Source organism: Homo sapiens, chromosome 10, assembly GCF_000001405.40.
Source record: "Homo sapiens chromosome 10, GRCh38.p14 Primary Assembly".
Classification (NCBI taxonomy): Eukaryota; Metazoa; Chordata; class Mammalia; order Primates; family Hominidae; genus Homo; species Homo sapiens.
The window spans coordinates 126,937,042-126,957,009 of record NC_000010.11 but is presented as its reverse complement, the minus strand read 5'-3'; the positions used below and the strand labels follow the sequence as shown (position 1 = coordinate 126,957,009).

Below are 19,968 nucleotides of genomic sequence, written 5' to 3'. Positions count from 1 at the left end.
CATGTTCCCTCCAATGTGGGGGCTTCTCAGGTGACAAAGCACTTTGCCTCCTCCCTGTGGGCTCTGGCCTGAGCCTCCTCTAGGACCCTAGAGAGAATGCCCATTTTCAAGGCTGGTGGCCCCCCACTGCTCAGGCAAAATCTCTGGAACTCTGCAGACCAGCCTGGCCACTCCCTCCCTCTGAGCCAAGCACTCAGCCTCTGGAATCAAGACATGGACTCGGTCCCAAACCCCTGTTCTGTGCCCTGACAAGCAACACAAACTCTGTGAAGCTCAGTTTCTCCCTCCATGAAATGGGAGGATGACAGCAAAGGGGTCCCTGGTGAGTGTGTATTAGCTCCTGCATATGAAGGTCCATCCAGCCGGGGCCACCCTACATGTGCACAATAAACATTTGCTTAGATTTTAAGACGGCCCCAGTGCGAGCTGAGGAGCTGCTTTTCTCTCCCAGCAAGGCACGTGGGCGGGGAGCAAGGATCTGCAGTGTCTTGCCATCTTCCCACTGAGCAGCTCAGCCGGGCCCAGCTCCTGTTCCTGTGCTCCCCTCCTGAGCCCCTCTCCTCCCACTCACTCAGCTGCACCAGGACCTGGTACAGTCACTTCTAACTAGACAGAGGGTAGATGCTCGTAGGCTGTAGGCCTTAGCACAAGAAGGTACGAAGTCACTCTCAGATCCTAAAGGTCAGGACACACAGGACCTTCTGCTGGTGAAATCTCAGGCTTCCAGAAGTCCCAACGGGGCAGAGCTCTGGAGGGAGAAGTCTGCTCAGATGTGTTTGCACACCTCAGATGCTGACTGCTGATGAGCTCTTCTGAGGCACAGGCGGCCCAGACATAGCCCTCTTGTTCCCAGGCAGATCAGCAACTGCACAGTGGCAGCCTGGGCCTGGCCCAGATGCGCCGGCTGCAGAGACGCGGGCATTTCCATACTTGCAGACCGAAACTGAACAGTGGCAGAGAGTCCATCCCAGCACAGCCTTGGAGGAGGGAGCCAAGGCTCCCGACTTGACCAGACCTGGGCTGCCTGCCTTTGTCATCTGTTTTAACAGGCATATGGACAGGTCTCACCCAAAGGCTACCCTCAACACCACTATTTGAGCCAGCTAGTGTGCAGTGTCAGTTCCCAGAGGACACAAACGAATCTTTCCTTAGTTAACTGCTTGATAAATTTTCCTTCCCTAGAGAGCACCCAAAAAGTGTGTGGTAAGCCGCCCTTCACAGAGTGAGCCACTGAACTGCTCACAGCCCCTGTGCAACGTGACCACTCGGCAGGAATACAGATTCTAGGTAAGGCACTAAATAAAACAGCGGAAGCCAAGACAGCCATCCCTCCTGCCTGCCAGCTCACTGCACACAGAGCTACTCTGCCCCAGATCTGGGCCTTCTGGGAACCACCTTTAACCCCAGACAGCGCCAGCCTGTCTTCCCCAGCAGCTTAAACTGACACCTGGCCAAACCCTTGTGCCCCGAACATGGGCGGGGCTCCACAGAACACCCAGGCTGCATCAGTTCCCAGCAGGACTGGCTACAAAATGTTCACGGCCCAAGGCAAAATGAAAATGTAAAGGCCTTTGTTCAAAAATTATGATAAATTACTGGCTCACGCCTGTAATCCCAGCCCTTTGGGAGGCCAAGGTGAGCGGATCATTGGAGGCCAGAAGTTTGAGACCAGCCTGGCCAACATAGTGAAACCCCTTCTCTACAAAAAGGACAAAATTTAGCCGAACATGATGGTGCATGCCCATAATCCCAGCTACTTGGGAGGCTGAGGCACAAGAATCACTTGAACCTGGGAGGCAGAGGTTGCAGTGAGCTGAGAATGCACCACTGACTCTAGCCTGGGCAACAGAGCAAGACTCCATCTCAAGAAAAAAGAAACAAAAAACAAAAACTGTGATACATTTGGAGATGATTAGGATGGCTATTATTTAAATAAATAACAAATGTTGGTAAGGATCTGAAGCAGCAGAAACCCTTGTGCACTGGTCACAGGAATGTAAAATGGTGCAGCCGCGGAAAAACCGTTTGGCAGTTCCTCAAAAGTTAAATATACAACTACTATATGATCAGGCAATACCAACATAACTGAAAGCGGGGACTTGAACAGAAACTTGTACACCAAGGTTCACAGCAGCATTATTCACAATAGCTAAAAGGCAGAAGCAACCCAAATGTCTATCAACAGATGAATGGATAAAACGTGGTATGTACATATAATGAAATACTACCCACACCTAAAAAAGGAAATTCTGACACATGCTACAATGTGGATGAACCTTGAGGACATTGTGCTGAGTGAAATAAGCCAGTCACAAAAGGACAGAAGCGTGTGATCCTACTTACACGAAGTTCTTAGAGTAGTCACTTGCATAGAGACAGAAAATAGCACGGCGGCTGCCAGGGGCTGGGAGGAGGAGGGAATGGGAGTTAGTGTTTAATAGGAACAGAGTCTGTCTTCAGGAAGAAGAAAAGAGTTCTGGCAATGGATGGTGGTGATGGTTGCCCAACAACGTCAGTGTGTTTAACGCCACTGAACTGTACACCTAAAAATGGTTCAAATGGGAAATTTTAGGTTATATATATCTTGCCACAATAAAGAAAATAGAAAAAACATTTCAAGATGTGACAGCAGAGCCCAGGACTGTTCTGAGGTTGTGGAGGGTCCTACATAGCAGCCCAGGCCTCAGGCCCCTGCATCGGCTGTGATTCCCAAGAAGGCCTCTCTTTCCAGGACTCAGCTGCCTCATCTGCAAGGGCAGGCCTCTCCAGCAGTGCTGCTCTGAGCCTGATGAGCAATGTTATATTTTAATAGTCATTTCAATTGACTATAAAAATACAGCAACACATAATAAGATTGCTTTTGCACCACAGTAGAAATACTTAGCAAGAGATGAGAAATACTCAGCAAGAGGCTATAAAACCCTGTTTGCTTGCTTACAGAGGTGCTGCTGGGCAGGACGAAAGCACACAAGGATAAAGGGCAGGCAGGGGAGACTTTGCCCAGAAAGCGCCCACGACAGTGTGTCCACCATGACACCCAACACACAGGACCACTCGGAAGTTTTAAAAATGTACCGAGCAAACTACTGAACATCTCTCCACATTTTCTGTTTGTTTCATTTTTAGCTTTTAAAGCTCCATCGGCTCTGACATCAGAAAACACTCCTCTCCCTGCAGTTCCCCAATGCTCCACCTGACTCACCTGTAACATGTTTCAGGTGACATCAAAGCTGACCACTGAGCAGCCACACACCCTCTAACCCCAACACACGTGGAACAAGGCTTCCCCCACCAACACAGCTCCAGGGAAAAATCTCAACCACAAATGAGGGACGTTCTACCCACACTCATTCCCAGGAGGCCTATGCCACGAAGGCATTCAGCTGAAAAATGGGAGCTCCACTGATGACAGTGTACTAACACCAGCACCTCCCCTGCCATCACCACTGATTAACAATACTACCACCACCACCACCATCAGCAGTACTACCACCACCAACATTACCAAAACTGCTATCAATAATATTGCTACCACTACCACCTCCACTGCCATCACCACCTCCACCGCCATCACCACCGATAACAATACTACCACCACCACCATCACCAATACCACCACTACCAACACTATGAAAAATACTACCAACAATACTACCACAACCACCATCACTGACAATACTACCACCACTACCACCTCCACTGCCATCACCACTACCACCACACCACACCACAACACTACCACCACCACCATCACCAATACCACCACTACCAACACTACTAAAAATACTACCAACAGTACTACCACCACTACCACCTCCACTGCCATCGCTGCCAATAACAATACCACCACCACCAACACTACGAAAATTACTACCAATACTTCCACCACCACCATCACCAATACTTCACAACCATCACCAAAATACTACCACCACTACCAAAAATACTACCACCACTACCAAAAATACTACCACCACCAGCAGCACCAACAATACTACCACCACCAACACTACATCACTAACTATACTACCAACAATACCACCAACAAAAAATACTACCACTACCATCACCAACAATACTACCAACAATAACAATACTATCACCACCACCATCACCTACAATACTACCAACAATAACAATACTACCACATCACCAACAATACTACCAACACTACCACCACCACCATCACCAACAATACTACCAAGAATAACATCACCAACACTACCAACAATACTACCACATCACCAACAATACTACCACCAATACTACCAATAACAACATCACCAACACTACCAACAATACTACCACATCACCAACAATACTACCAACAACAACAATACTACCAATAACAACATCACCAACACTACCAACAATACTACATCACCAACAATACTACCAAGAATAACATCACCAACAGTACCAACAATACTACATCACCAACAACACTACCACCAATACTACCACCACCATCACCAACCGTACTACCAAGAATAACAACACCAACACTACCAATAATACATCACCAACAATACTACCACCAATACTACCACCACCACCATCACCAACAATACTACCAAGAATAACATCACCAACACTACCAACAATACTACCGCCACATCACCAACACTACCAACAATACTACCAACAGTAACAATATTACCACCACCATCACCAACAATACAACCAACAATAACAATACTACTGCCACCACCACCATCACCTACAATACTATGAACAATAACAATGCTATTACCATCACCATCACCTACAACACTACCAACAATAACAATACTACCGTATCACCAACAATACTACCACCACCATTGGTTACTTGGTGTACACCCTATATAAACGAAGAGGCTGGCCAGGCATGGTAGCTCATGCCTGTAATCCCACCCCTCTGGGAGGCCGAGGTGGGCGGATCACAAGGTCAAGAAATTGATACCATCCTGGCCAACATGGTGAAATCCCATCTCTACTAAGAATACAAAAATTAGCTGGGCCTGGTGGTACACATCTGTAGTCCCAGCTACTCAGGAGTCCGAGGCAGGAAAATCGCTTGAACCCAGGAGGCGGAGGTTGCAGTGAGCCGAGATCGCACCACTGCACTCCAGCCTGGGTGACAATAGTGAAACTCCATCTCAAAAAAAAAAAAAATGAAGAGGCTGAAGTAAAGTTACATAGTCATTTACTCAGTGTACACCCAATGTAAATGAAGAGATTATTTCCTGTCACAGCGTGTTTCCATTTGATTTAGTTCTAGGAAGTCCTTAGGTCTTCTGCCTCCAGGCTCTATTCTTCTGCCTCAATACTAGTAATACCAACAACAATACTTACTACTACTACCATTGTCACCAATACTACAAACAACAATACTACCACCAACAATACCACCACCAACACTACCAAAAACACTACCAACAATACTACCACCACCACAATCACCACCAACACATCACCAACAATACTACCAACAGCAATAATACCAACAAAAACAACATTACCACCATCACCACTATCACCAACAATACTACGAATACTACCACTACTACCAATACTACCAACACTACCAACAATACTACCACCACCACTATCACTAATATTAGCAATACTACTACCATCACCAATACTACCACCACCACTACCAATACTATCAACAATACTACCATCACCACTATCACCAACAATACTACCAACAATACTACCACTACTAACACTACCAATACTACCAACAATACTACCACCACCACTATCACTAATATTACCAACAATACTACCACCATCACCAATATTACCACCACCACTACCAATACTACCACCATCACCACTATCACCAACACTACTACCAGTAATACTACCACCAACAACCATGCTAACACTACCAACAATACTACCAACAACACTACCACCACTATCATCAATACTAAAAACACTACCAAAAACAATACTACCACCACCATCACCAATACTACTACTACCAACAATACTACCACCTTCACCACCCCCACCAACATCAATACTACCAACACAATCACCGCCAGCAATGTTACCACCACCACCATCACCGCCAACAGCAATACTACCAACCACCATCATCAACAATAACATCACCAACATCACCAGCACCACCGCTATCACCAGTACCACCATCATCATGGTAGAGTTAAACTTCATTCTGCCCTGGGAAAGACCAGAAACTCCAACGAACACTTGACGCATTTCCTCACATCATCCCATATTAACCCTATGAAGTGGGGCTAACAAAAACCCCATTTCTGCACACAAAGACTCTGAGGCAAAGAGCAGGAGGAAGGAGGGCATGCTGCCGCCCCACCTCCAGGCATCATGTGGCCTTGCTCTGAGAACAGCACTCCCAGCACATCCCAAACAAAGAGTAACTGTACTGCTGCGTCCACAACAAAGGCTGCAGAGTCCCTCTCTCTGCAACCGATTTCCCTTTGCTTCAAAGGGACAGTGACAATTCTGGGCACTGTCAAAGGCCCCATTGCCCTTATTCCAGAAAGCCCTTGAGACAAGATGAAATAACAATTCCATTAATCCCATGAATGGAACCCCAGTCTAAAGGAGAGAGAGCCTTTACATGTCACAGCTAGGCTAAGCTGACCCTGCAGGCAAGCACAGACCAGACCTCCAATCATCCAGTCAATCCAGACCAACAAACCAATATTTACCACCCAAGATCCCAGGTAAGAACTGCCACCCAAAGAGGAGACAAGACATGACACAGATAAGCTGTGGCGAACTCGAATTAGGAACCTGCTCTCCAAATAACACAACTAGGAAAAGCTGTAATGAGAGCTATTAGCCCCTTACCATGGAACAGCCACTGACTGCTTCTCGTGGACTACCTAATTTATCTAATTTCATTATCACAAAAACTTTACAAGGGAGGGATTACTACTCATTCCCATTTCACAAATGGAAAAAAAAAATGAGGCTTAGAGAGGATGTTAGATGGCTCCTCAAAGACGCAGGTCTAGAAGGTGGGAGAAACCTGCTTTGGGGGGCTAATGTTTCTGACCCAGCTTCTGTCCCTAGCCACAACACTGCATGCTGCATAACACGCGGCTCCACACTCTAAAAAAGCACAGCCCTCCCATCGAGAGCCAGACAGAGCTTTGCCTCTCTGGCCACTCTCCCTTTGGTGCTCCCCAAATAGCCCTCATAAAACCAGCCAGAGACATGTCAAAACAAAAGTCACAAGAAATATCACCCAATATCATACAAGGACTGTCACAAGCAAACCTTGTCACAAAGTCCTTTTTAGGTGAAATATTCTTGAGTAATACTTTTCCCCTCCAGATCCTTCCTGCATCAGTCAAACGCCTACATTTTGCTGTCTAACATGAATTTATAGTTATAGCACAGAAAGGACATTCAACACCCGATGCTCTCATCACAGAGAGATCCAACCATGTCCCAGCTCTGCCCTTGCTGCTCTGAAATTAAGCAGGGGATGTACTGATGCCCTGGGAAAAAGGAATTCACAAGAATGGGTCTCATCATAGGACCAACCCTCCCTCACACACCTACCCACTTTGGACTGCCATGTATAGTTGGTAGGTGTGTTCACTGCCAAAGGCTCAGGGCTGAAGGGACACGTGGGAGCCGAAATCCTGCCTGGGTTGCACTTGTCAAGCAACATGTCCAACCAAGAAGTGCCTTCCTGGAATCCCCAGAGGCACTAGACAGCTTAGGGGCTGTCCTGCGGCTCCCCATTCCCCACAGGGAGAGGGCTGCAGGAGAGCAGGAGCTGGGTGTGTTAACCCCATGTCCCCCAACCCAGGTCACCTTCAATAAACACCTTCGGGAATCAATGGAGATGGATCAGCAAACAAGTGCAGAGGGGAACCCAGAGTGCCAGGCAGGCAGCAAGGGCAGGATGCACCTCCCCCCAGCAGAACGTGCACCACTCCCAGAAAGGGGAGGCCAGGATCCCGAAGGGTGGCCAGGGAACCAAAGCAAAGACGAAAGCTCAGTTACAAAGGGAACAGGGTCCAGGGGGTGGGCCCGGGCCACTGAAAGGGATTCTGAAAGCCCAGCTTGCGGGGCCCAGGCATACAACCAGCTCCAGACCTGCCTTCTCACGCAACCCCAGTACTACCCTGGGCCAGGCCCAGCACACATATCCCCAACCTCAGGAAAGGCATAGGGGGCAAGGTTCCCTTTGAGGGAGAGGATGGAAAATCCAGCCCAAAGGATCAGAGCAGCTCACAATGATTCCAGGGAGGGGAAGCTTGGGATCCAGGCTGGATGGCAGCTGCACAGCTGGGCGCCCGCATCACAGGCTCCGAGAGGTGAGGATTCCTGGGAAGCAGTGCCTCTGGCTCAGCATACCTGACCCTGCAACCCCACATCGGGAAACTTTCCTTCTCCATCTGTGGCCTGGAGCATTTTGAGGGCCCTGTTTCAGGGTGCCTATCCCGACCCCACCCCACGTAAAAAAGAGGTTCATCCAGATGCCCTCAAAAGGCCCGGCTGGACAGTATTACCACCTTCATCACCCTCACCAGCAACATCAGTACTACCAACACAATCACCACCAGCAGTATTACCACCACCACCACCATCACCACCAACAGTAATACTACCAACCACCACCATCACCACCAACAGTAATACTACCAACCACCACCATCACCACCAACAGTAATACTACCAACCACCACCATCACCACCAACAGTAATACTACCAACCACCACCATCACCACCAACAGTAATACTACCAACCACCACCATCACCACCAACAGTAATACTACCAACCACCACCATCACCACCAACAGTAATACTACCAACCACCATCACCACCAACAGTAATACTACCAACCACCACCATCACCACCAACAGTAATACTACCAACCACCACCATCACCACCAACAGTAATACTACCAACCACCACCATCACCACCAACAGTAATACTACCAACCACCACCATCACCACCAACAGTAATACTACCAACCACCACCACCACCACCAACAGTAATACTACCAACCACCACCACCACCACCAACAGTAATACTACCAACCACCACCACCACCACCAACAGTAATACTACCAACCACCACCATCACCAACAGTAATACTACCAACCACCACCATCACCACCAACAGTAATACTACCAACCACCACCATCACCAACAACAGTAATACTACCAACCACCACCACCACCACCAACAGTAATACTACCAACCACCACCATCACCACCAACAGTAATACTACCAACCACCACCATCACCACCAACAGTAATACTACCAACCACCACCATCACCACCAACAGTAATACTACCAACCACCATCACCACCAACAGTAATACTACCAACCACCACCACCACCACCAACAGTAATACTACCAACCACCACCATCACCAACAGTAATACTACCAACCACCACCACCACCACCAACAGTAATACTACCAACCACCACCATCACCACCAACAGTAATACTACCAACCACCACCACCACCAACAGTAATACTACCAACCACCACCATCACCACCAACAGTAATACTACCAACCACCACCACCACCACCAACAGTAATACTACCAACCACCACCATCACCACCAACAGTAATACTACCAACTACCACCATCACCACCAACAGTAATACTACCAACCACCACCATCACCAACAGTAATACTACCAACCACCACCATCACCACCAACAGTAATACTACCAACCACCACCATCACCACCAACAGTAGTACTACCAACCACCACCATCATCAACCACATTACCAGCACCACCATCATCATGGCAGAGGTAAACTTTATTCTGCCCTGAGAAAGACCAGAAACACCATGGAATACCACATCATCCCATATCAACCCTATGAAATAGGGCTAACAGCAATCCCATTTCTGCACGCAAAGACTGAGGCAAAGAGCAGGAGGAAGGAGGGCATGCTGCTGCCAAGCCTCCAGGTACCAGTCCTTGGACCGCATCTCTCCCCAGTCATGGGCCAGGGATGGGGGGACAGGATCAGACCTGCATTCTCACTGCATTGATCTGCTTCACAATGAGCGTCTGATCCAAGAAGTGAGCCTGTCCGCTGTGACCGTGAGATGGGCACTAACGCACTTCCTCCAGCAAAGAGTGGACAAGTTGTTCACAACAGTCAAATGCTGGGAAGAAACCATGTCACAAGTGTCCATCAAGAGATGAACAAATTAAACAAAATGTGGCTAATGCATACAGTGAAATATTCTTCAGAGCAAGGAAGTGTTGACGTGTGCTGTGACATGGATGAACCCGGAAGATACTGTGCTCTGCGAAATTAGCCAGGCACAAAAGGACAAATACTGTGCAATTCCGTTCCTATGTGGCTCCTAGAGTAGTCAAATTCAGAGACAGAAAATATAATAGATTAGAAGTTAACGGAGGCTGAGGGGACAGGGAATGGAAAGTTAGCTTTTTCTTTTTTTAGATGAAGTCTCGCTCTGTTGCCCAGACTGGAGTGTAGTGCTGCGATCTCAGCTCACTGCAACCTCCGCCTTCCGGGTCAAGCGATTCTCCTGCCTCAGCCTCCCAAGTAGCTGGGATTACAGGTGCCCGCCACCACATCCAGCTAATTTTTGTATTTTTAGTAGAAATGGGGTTTCACCATGTTGGCCAGGCTGGTCTTGAACTCCTGACCTCAAGTGATCCACCCACCTCGGCCTCCCAAAGTGCTAGGAATACAGGCATGAGCTACCGTGTCTGGCCAAGAATTAGCTTTTAACGGATACAAAGTTTCTGTCTGGGACGGTGAAAGTCTTGGAAACAGAGAATGAGTAGCACAACACTGTAGATGTATTTAATGCCAATGAAATGTGCATTTTTAAAGGGTTAAAGGGGAAAATTCTATGTTATATATATTTTTCCCATAAATTTAAAAAATTAATGTAATATGCCAAAAACCACTGAATGGCAGACTTTTACAGTGGATACCCTGCATGGTATGTGAGTAACTGCTCGAGAAAGCTGTTTAAAAAGAGTCCAGAGCGTCTCTGCCTATGAACGTTCATCAGCAAGTGAATGCCGCAAACCACACCTGAGCATTCCAAGTTGTTACGCTCAATAAAGCACTGCGGCAATCATGAGATGCACGGCAGAGGTGTGCCCAAAACCCCCTGCTCTTGGCCACTCCGACACTGAACTGCCTGCATCAGCAAAGTGCCAGAAACTTCGAAGAAACTGCTCACGACCGCCAGCCATACAGTATGTGCACCTGCACCCAAGTGGATTCATGAACACGTGTTTCTTGGGACTGGAAAAAGAGGCCGGTGGCAGCAAAACCAGATGCACAGCTGAGCATGTCCACAGGTAAAGAGTATTTGACTCACTCCATTCATTTCCTAAAAGAAAATCCATAAAAATGATCCCGTTGAGTATGGGCTGGACCTAGTGACTCACTTCTAGCCAATAAAATACTGCCAGTGATGGGCTGTCACTTCCATGATTCAGTTACAAAAGGGCTCTGACTTCTGCCTTGTGTGCACTCTCTCTCTCTCTCTCCCTCTCTCTCTCTCTCTTTCCCCTTCTCCCCTCTTTCCCTCTCCCCCTCTCCGCTGCACCCTCTGCCTCCCACTCACCTGCTGTGACAAAACCAGCCCTACATGAGCTGCCCCTATGGAGAGGCCCACGTGGGAAGGAAATGCAAGTACCCTCTGCCAACAGCCACCAAGAAAGTGAATCCTGCCAACACCACCATGTGAGCTCAGAAGCTGATTCTCCTCCAGTAAGACCCTGAAATGACTCTGTCCCCCGTGGACACCTTAAATACAGCCCTTCAGAGGGCCTGAGCTGGGGGCCCAGCTAAGCCACACAGAAACTGGATAAAAAACGTTTTCTGGCCAGGCACGGTGGCTCACACCTGTAATCCCAGCACTTTGGGAGGCCGAGGCAGGCGGATCACAAAGTCAGGAGTTGGAGACCAGCTTGACTGACATAGTGAAACCCCGTCTCTACTAAAAATACAAAAATTAGCCAGGTATGGTGGTGCACGCCTGTAATCCCAGCTACTCAGGAGGCCGAGGCAGGAGAATCGTTTGAACCCGGGAGACAGAGGCTGCAGTGAGCCCAGACTCTGCCACTGCACTCCAGCCTGGGTGACAGAGAGAGGATCAGTCTCAAAAACAAAAACATTGTTTTCAGCTCCTAGGTTTTGGTGTGATCTGTTACACAGCTGTTGATAACACCCTCTCCAGCTTCTTACTGAGAGCTCTCTTGTCTTTTTGCAGCCAAGTCTCTGTGGCGACATTGCCCACACGAGCCCCAATCCACCTCGCCACTGATACGTGCCCTGCAGAGCCGAGGGCACCCTAGCAATGACACTCTTCCTTCTTTTCCTTCCCAGTCACTTCCTCCTCAGGCTTGGTGTCCTCCCTGGGCCTCCGCTCCCCGGTCTCCTCCATCTCAGTCCTTTGCGCAGTTGTTCTTTGGGACTCCAGCTCCTCAGCTTCTCCTCACTTTCCAAACCCTCCCACACAGGTCATCTCTGGAGGCTTCCATACGCATCTTCGTGCTGACTCCCAACTGCGTAAACTGCTCCAGCCACCCAACAGCTGCCTCGGCAGGTCCGCTTGCAAGGTTCAGAGACCACACATGGCTCTGCGTGCTGAGGGCTTCCTGCAGCAAGCATTTCCTACTGTCTACCACGGGCACAGCCCTGCACCCTGTGCCCAGTGCTGGGGAAGAACTGTACCCTGAGTTCATCCTTCTCCAGGACCACCGGAGACCAGCAGCCCCTGCATCCAGGCCTAGACACTTCCCTCCCCTCGTCTACAACCAATCAGTCAGGACATGGCACTCCTTATCCTCCTAATATTCTCAAACCCACTGGCTCCTCCCCACCCCCACCACCATCAACCCCACTCAGGCCCCATCACCTCCCCTGCACGGCTGCCATGCCTCCCCATCACCTGTCTCCTCTCCTTCCCGTTCTTCAAACCACTGCCCATGAACTCTTCCTGCAACAAAATCTGATATAGCTCTGGACCCTTCAAGAATCATCCACTCTGAACCTTTCAATCACCAGCCACTGCTCTGAGCATTAAGTCCAAATTCCTCCAGACAGCTTGGGACGACCCTGCTTGGCACCCAGCCTCGCCTCGACTCACCCAGACTGAACTTCAGTGGTCTGTGCACTCTTGCACCTCAGGGCCCTCAGCTAAACTGATGCTACTCCTTCCTACCCCTCTTCATCTCATTAACTCATATCTAATCTCTTCAAAGCACCTATTTAAAAAGCCGCTTCTTCCAGGAAGCCTCCCTTGGTAGTCCTTTCTCCCTCCTACCATTCACAGCTGTCTTGTGGCTGCCTACTTACTTGCCAATCCCCCATATCTACTTCAGTCCCTATTGTATCCCAGGGCCAAGCACACAGCAGTCATTTTGCAGGCACAGGGTAAATATTTACTGAATGCATGAATTTAGCCGAAATCCACTGAATGATTGCATTAACTTAAATAGCATTCAGTAGGTGCTTACATACACTTACTCGTTTAACCTCAATCTTATGCTACAACCACTATTACTACTCCCATTTAACAGAAAGGCTGCACACAGAGATTAACTTGCCTCAGGTCAACCAGTGCTAGGTCTAGGATCTGATCCCAAGCAGTTTGGTTCCAGCACCTACTCTCTTGACCTCAGAAAAATTAGCTTGCCAAAGAAAGTAAGGCAGTCAGGTTCAAAGAAGGTCTTAAACCTTTCATTTGTTTGTTTTTATTTTTTGAGATGGAGTCTCTCTCTGTCACCCAGGCTGGAGTGCAGTGGCACAATCTCTGCTCACTGCAGTCTCCGCCTCCCACGTTCAAATGATTCTCCTGCCTCTGCCTCAGTGTAGCTGGGATTACAGGCACACACCAACATATCTGGCTTTTTTTTTTTTTGGTAGAGATAGGATTTCACCATGTTGGCCAGGCTGGTCTTGAACTCCTGACCTCAAATGATTCACCAGCCTCAGCCTCCCAAAGTGCTGAGATTACAGGCGTGAGCCACCACGTCCGGCCTATTTGTTTGTTTTTAATGATCATTTCTAGATGAACAAGAAAAAGAAATCAATATATTTTAGGATAGTAACTAAAATCACAAAAGGTCAGGAAAACTAAAAGAATTTATACTGAGGTCATGAAACATGTAATCTAGTTAAGCATTTTCTGGAAAGAAACATCTTGCAAATAAACGCCCATCCAGAGGAATCATCAGCTATCCCCTACTTTCCATTAGAAGCTTCCCAACAGGACAGATCATGCTTATCTTTTAATGAATTTGTGTAACATTGAGTGTATTTACAGTAAAAATAAACGGGATAATGGAACTCTGCTGCATCGCAGATCCCAGGGTCCCAGATGACGGCTCCCTCGGGGCTGGCTCGGCTCCCTCGGGGCTGGCTCGTTCCATTAAGGAAACTTCCTGCAAATCAGAAGGAAGGAGCAGCTCCATCCATTCCTCTCGCATTCTAACGCTTGTAGGTCTTCACGATTTATTCTACTGTTCTACCTGCCAACCTGCTCCCAAATGAATCCAGTGCACAGCTTCCACCTGAAACTAAAAGTGAGCTTCACCCCACTCGAAAAGAAACCTAGAAGAAGGAATGAACCCATCTCCTCCTTGAGCTCATTCCTCAGGACTCACAAAACACTCAGAAAATGAGCAAATATCGGCTGGGCGCGGTGGCTCACACCTATAATCCCAGCACTTCGGGAGGCCGAGGCAGGTGAATCACGAGGTCAGGAGATCGAGACCATCCTGGCTAACATGGTGAAACCCTGTCTCTACTAAAAGTACAAAAAATTAGCCGGGCGTGGTGGCGGGCGCCTGTAGTCCCGCTACTCGGGAGGCTGAGGCAGGAGAATGGTGTGAAACCGGGAGGCAGAGCTTGCAGTGAGCCGAGATCGTGCCACTGCACTCCAGCCTGGGCGACAGAGCGAGACTCCGTCTCAAAAAAAAAAGAAAAAGAGCAAATATCAGAGTGACAACACACATCCGACACCCTCTTGGCTCTCCCCTCCTCATGATGTGACTTTAGAATCCTTTAAACAAAGCAGCTTAAAAGAGAATAATTGGCAAAATTATCTTCCCATGGGACTTTTAAGTCTGAGCACCTCACCTGCAAAGGCGGGCTGAGAAAGGCAAAGTTGTCTAGGAAAGGTGATTATACACTACTCAGACAGGTACAATCCACAAATGCTGTTTTTTTTGTTTTGTTTTGTTTTGTTTTGTCTGTTTTGAGATGGAGTCTCGCACTGTCGCCCAGGCTGGAGTGCAGTGGCACGATCTCGGCTCACTGCAAGCTCCGCCTCCCGGGTTCACGCCATTCTCCTGCCTCAGCCTCCCGAGTAGCGGGACTACAGGCACCCGCCACCACGCCTGGCTAATTTTTTGTACTTTTAGTAGAGACAGGGTTTCACCGTGTTAGCCAGGATGGTCTCGATCTCCTGACCTCGTGATCCGCCCGCCTTGGCCTCCCACAGTGCTGGGATTACAGGCATGAGCCACTGTGCCCGGCCCACAGATGCTGTTTAACTGCGGTTTTGAAGATGTTTTTGTTGTTGGATTGGTTTTACTTTTGTGTTTTAAAAGACTAAAGTTAAAACTAGCACCATGAAATGAAATATTTCATCAGAATTTAGGTAATGCAATCTATCCATAAAACAATCTTTTTAAACTGGTTTTTAGAGGTTTCTTTACACAGTATAGCATCTCCTCTCATAACCACAGGATACATCCCATCAAACTTACTCTTGTCCCCTGTGTCCACTAGACACCAATAAAAACAAGGAAGCTACCAACACTTTCTGGGAGTTTAAACAGCTGAAATGCCCTCTGGTAACACTGCACGGCAGATAAACCAACCGAGCACATTTTATGAAGAATGTCATCCTCCCAGACAATGACCAAACAGATGACTCTGGACCAGCAGGTCCCTGAAATATTGTGATGGAAAAATGTGAATGTACAGATGATAATTACTTTGGTTGTTTATCCATCTGTTTGCTTTCTCATATATATGGATTCATGACTACATTTAATCATCCTCCGAAGAATCATCTTGGTGAGGTTACAGGGCAATATAATAGAGTCACTGTAATTCAATAGACGCTTTTGATTTCCCTGATAAGATAGAGTTAGCAATTACTGTTTGCTATCACAACTCCAGTTCTTGTCAATACAAGTCAAATTTTACTTGATAAACTAATTACACAAACCCTGGCCAACTACAAAAAAAGGCACTCTGACTTATTTGAACTGAGAGTTTGTTTACTAAAATAGGTACTTTGGGCCAGGCGCAGTGGCTCACGCCTATAATCCCAGCACTTTGGGAGGCTGAGGTGGGTGGATCACTTGAGGTCAGGAGTTCGAGACTAGCCTGGCCAACATGGTGAAACTCCGTCTCTACTAAAAATACAAAAATTAGCCGGGCATGGTGGCAGGCGCCTGTAATCCCAGGTACTTGGGAGGCTGAGGCAGGAGAATCATTTGAACCCGGGAGGCAGAGGTTGCAGTGAGCCGAGATTATACCACTACACTCCAGCCTGGGTGACAGAGACCCTGTCTCCACAAAATAAATAAAACACATACTCTGAATATTGAGTACGAAGTGCTGCAGACTCCTGTCATCTAATATGGAAAACCACCTGGTTTGAAAGAATAAACAGAATGGTTTGCATGGATGTCTTCCTTCTAGAACAGTTTTATTCCAAATTATTCTCAATCAACTCCCAACTGCAAATTAAACCAAAATTACAAAGCAAGGCAAATCACTGAATCCCCAAATACTTTGATTCTGCCATCATCCCTGTAAACCGTGATTAATTCACAGGGCAAATTTCTTATCCATTACTGAGACTACAAAGAAATAACCAGATTAGAGGCAAAAACATCATTTGTGAAAAACAATTCTCAAAGGTTGGAAAGGCACTAGAGAGGAGTTGCACCCTTCTCCTTCTTGCTTCTCCTCCAAATCTGTCTTACCCTAGACTCTCCCAATGCCAGCCCCAACTCAGGGCTAAATGCAGCCACCAGCTCATGGAGGCTCCTATTCAGGCAACAAGGTAGGCGTGGCCTTCAAAGGACAAAGGAAGCAGTCTCCTTCATTGGGGACATGCGTCACACTTACAGCTGCCGAGAGAGGGACCCAAATACAGAAAGGCCTAATAATCTGACTTCTGGGATTAACAAACACCAAACCAAAGCATCCAAAGGAATGAAAGCAGCAGCACTAATCCACTTCCCTGAACTACAGCCCATCACAGAACACTGGTCTCGTGACGACTCGGACTCATCTGGACTGAAGAGTTTGTTTTCTAAAATAGGTATTTTGGGTCAGGCGCGGTGGCTCACGCCTGTAATCCCAGCACTCTGGGAGGCCGAGGCAGGAGGATCACCTGAGGTGAGTGATTACTAAATCAAGCTGCTACAAACGAGAGAAAAATTAAAAGATAACTTTAAGTTAAAGTAAAAACACTGATGTCCCTTAACCTACCAGCCTAAGAAATACAGCAAAAGTAAACAGGTACATGCAGAAATAGAAAAATTCATCCTAGAATTTAGATGAAATCTCAAAGGACCCTGAATAGCCAAAACAATCTTGAAAAAGAACAAAGCTAGCGGACTTGCACTTCCTGATTTCAAAATTTAGTACAAAGCTACTGCTATGGTCTGATGTCCCCCAGAATTCATGTGTTGAAACTCAATAGCCAATGTCATCGTTTTAAATGGTGGGACTTTGAGGGGTGACTAAATCAGGAGGATGAAACCTTCACGGATGGAATCAGGCCCCTTATAGAAGAGCTTAAGGAAGGGGGTTCCTTCCCTTGCATCCCTTCTGCCATGTGAGGGCACAGTGTTCATCCCTTCCGGTGTTCATCCCCTCCTGTGTTCATCCCCTCCGGTGCTCGTCCCCTCCGGTGTTCGTCCCCCCCCCGGTGTTCATCCCCCCACCGTGTTCATCCCTTCAGGTGTTCATCCCCTCCGGTGTTCGTCCCCTCCGGTGCTCATCCCCCCCGGTGTTTGTCCCCCCAGGTGTTCGCCCCCCCAGTGTTCGTCCCCCCGTGTTCATCCTTTCAGGTGTTCGTCCCCTCCTGTGTTCGTCCCCTCCTGTGTTCATCCCCTCCAGTGCTCATCCCCTCTGGTGTTCATCCCCTCCTGTGTTCGTCCCCTCCTGTGTTCATCCCCTCCGGTGCTCATCCCCGCTGGTGTTCATCCCCTCCTGTCTTCATCCCCTCCGGTGTTCATCCCCTCTGGAGAATGTAGCAGCAAGGTGCCATTTTGGAAGCAGGGAGCAGCCGTCATTAGACACAGAATTTGCTAGTGCCTTGATCTTGGACTTCCCAGCCTCCAGAACTATGAGAATAAATTGCTGTTATTTATAAACTATCCAGTCTCATGTATGTTGTCCTAGCAGCACAAATGGACTAAGAAAGAACTCATAATCAAAAGTGTCAATCAAAACAGCTGCCGTAAAGACAGATATACAGAGACCAATAGAAGAGAATAGAGAGCCCGGAAATAAATCCTCACGTATAAGGTCAAACGGTTTCAACAGAGAGCCAAGACCATTCAATGGGAAAGAACAATAAATGGTTTCAACAAATGGCTGAAGACTGGATATTCACAAGCAAAAAAATGAAGCCAGGCCGGGCGCAGTGGCTCTTGCCTGTAATCCCAGCACTTTGGGATGCTGAGGCGGGCGGATCACCTGAGGTCGGGAGTTTGAGACAAGCCTGACCAACATGGAGAAACCCTGTCTCTACTAAAAATACAAAAAATTAGCCAGGCGTGGTGGTGCATGCCTGTAATCTCAGCTACTCAGGAGGCTGAGGCAGGAGAATAGCTTGAACCCAGGAGGCAGAGGTTGTGGTGAGCTGAGATCGTGCCATTGCACTCCAGCCTGGGCGAAAAGAGTGAAACTCCATCTCAAAAAAAAAAAAAAAGATGAAGCTGGACTCTTCTACTATTCACAAAAGTTAACTCAAAATGGACAGAAGGCCTAAGCACAAGAGCTAAAACTGTAAAACTCTTAGCAGGAAACAGGGGAAAAACTTCGAGGCACTGGATTTGGCAATTATTTATTGGATATGACCTCAAGTGCACAGAAAACAACAATAACAAGATAAAGAAGTTGGACTTCATCAAAATTAAAAACTTTTGTGTATCAAAGGAGACTATCAACAGAGTAGAAAGGCAACACCACAGAATGGGATAAAATATTTCCAAATCCTATATCCACTAAGGGCTTAATATCCAGAATAAAGAATTCCTACAACTCAATAAAAACAAAGAAACATTAAAAATGGGCAAAGAGCTTGAATAAACATTTCTCCAAAAAGATACACAAATGATCAATAAGCTCATGAAAAAAAAGCTCAACATCACTAACCCTTAAGAAAATGAAAATCAAAAGGACAGTAAGATACCACTTCACACCCATAAGAATGGCTATGATTAAAAAGAAGACAAAAAAAAAAACAGAAAATAACAAGTGTTGGAGAAAAACAAGTGTGGAGAAACTCAAACCCCTGTGTACTAGTGGTGGGAATGTAAAACAGATAGAGCCACTATAGAAAACAGTACAGCAGTCCCTCAAAAAACTAAAAATAGAATTACTATATGACCTACCAATTCCACTTCTGGGTACACACTCAAAATAAGTGAAATCAGGGTCTTGAAGAGATATTTGTACACCCATGTTCATAGCAGCATTATTCACAAGAGCTAAAACATGGAGACAACCCAAGTATCCGTTGGCAATGGATGGATAAGCAAAACTGGCATATACAAACAATGGAATATTATTCAGCCTTACAAAGAAAGGAAATTACGACATATGCTAAAATACAGTGAACCATTAGGGCTTTAAACTAAGTGAAATAAGCCACTCACAAAATGACAAATGCCATTTGATTATGAAGTTCCTAGAGTCGTCTAAACTAAGTGAAAT

At 47.1% G+C, this 19,968-nt stretch overlaps 1 protein-coding gene across 24 annotated transcripts in view; it reads right to left on the bottom strand.

Moving 5' to 3' along the window:
* DOCK1 (dedicator of cytokinesis 1) overlaps window positions 1–19,968 on the bottom strand; it is a 547,089-nt gene that overhangs the window by 495,507 nt on the left and 31,614 nt on the right. For 4 of the 24 annotated variants that reach the window (XM_017015814.2, XM_047424700.1, XM_017015817.1 and 1 more), the window contains exon 1: window positions 7,555–7,681. The exons of 17 other annotated variants lie outside the window; for them this stretch is intronic. In XM_017015814.2, coding sequence (XP_016871303.1) covers window positions 7,555–7,666 — 112 coding nt within the window. In that variant the 5' untranslated portion in view covers window positions 7,667–7,681. Of the gene's footprint in view, window positions 1–2,343; window positions 2,387–7,554; window positions 8,113–19,968 lie in introns of those variants that run through there. 3 more of the 24 variants (XM_017015813.3, XM_011539422.4, XM_011539424.2) reach the window with 3 other exon arrangements.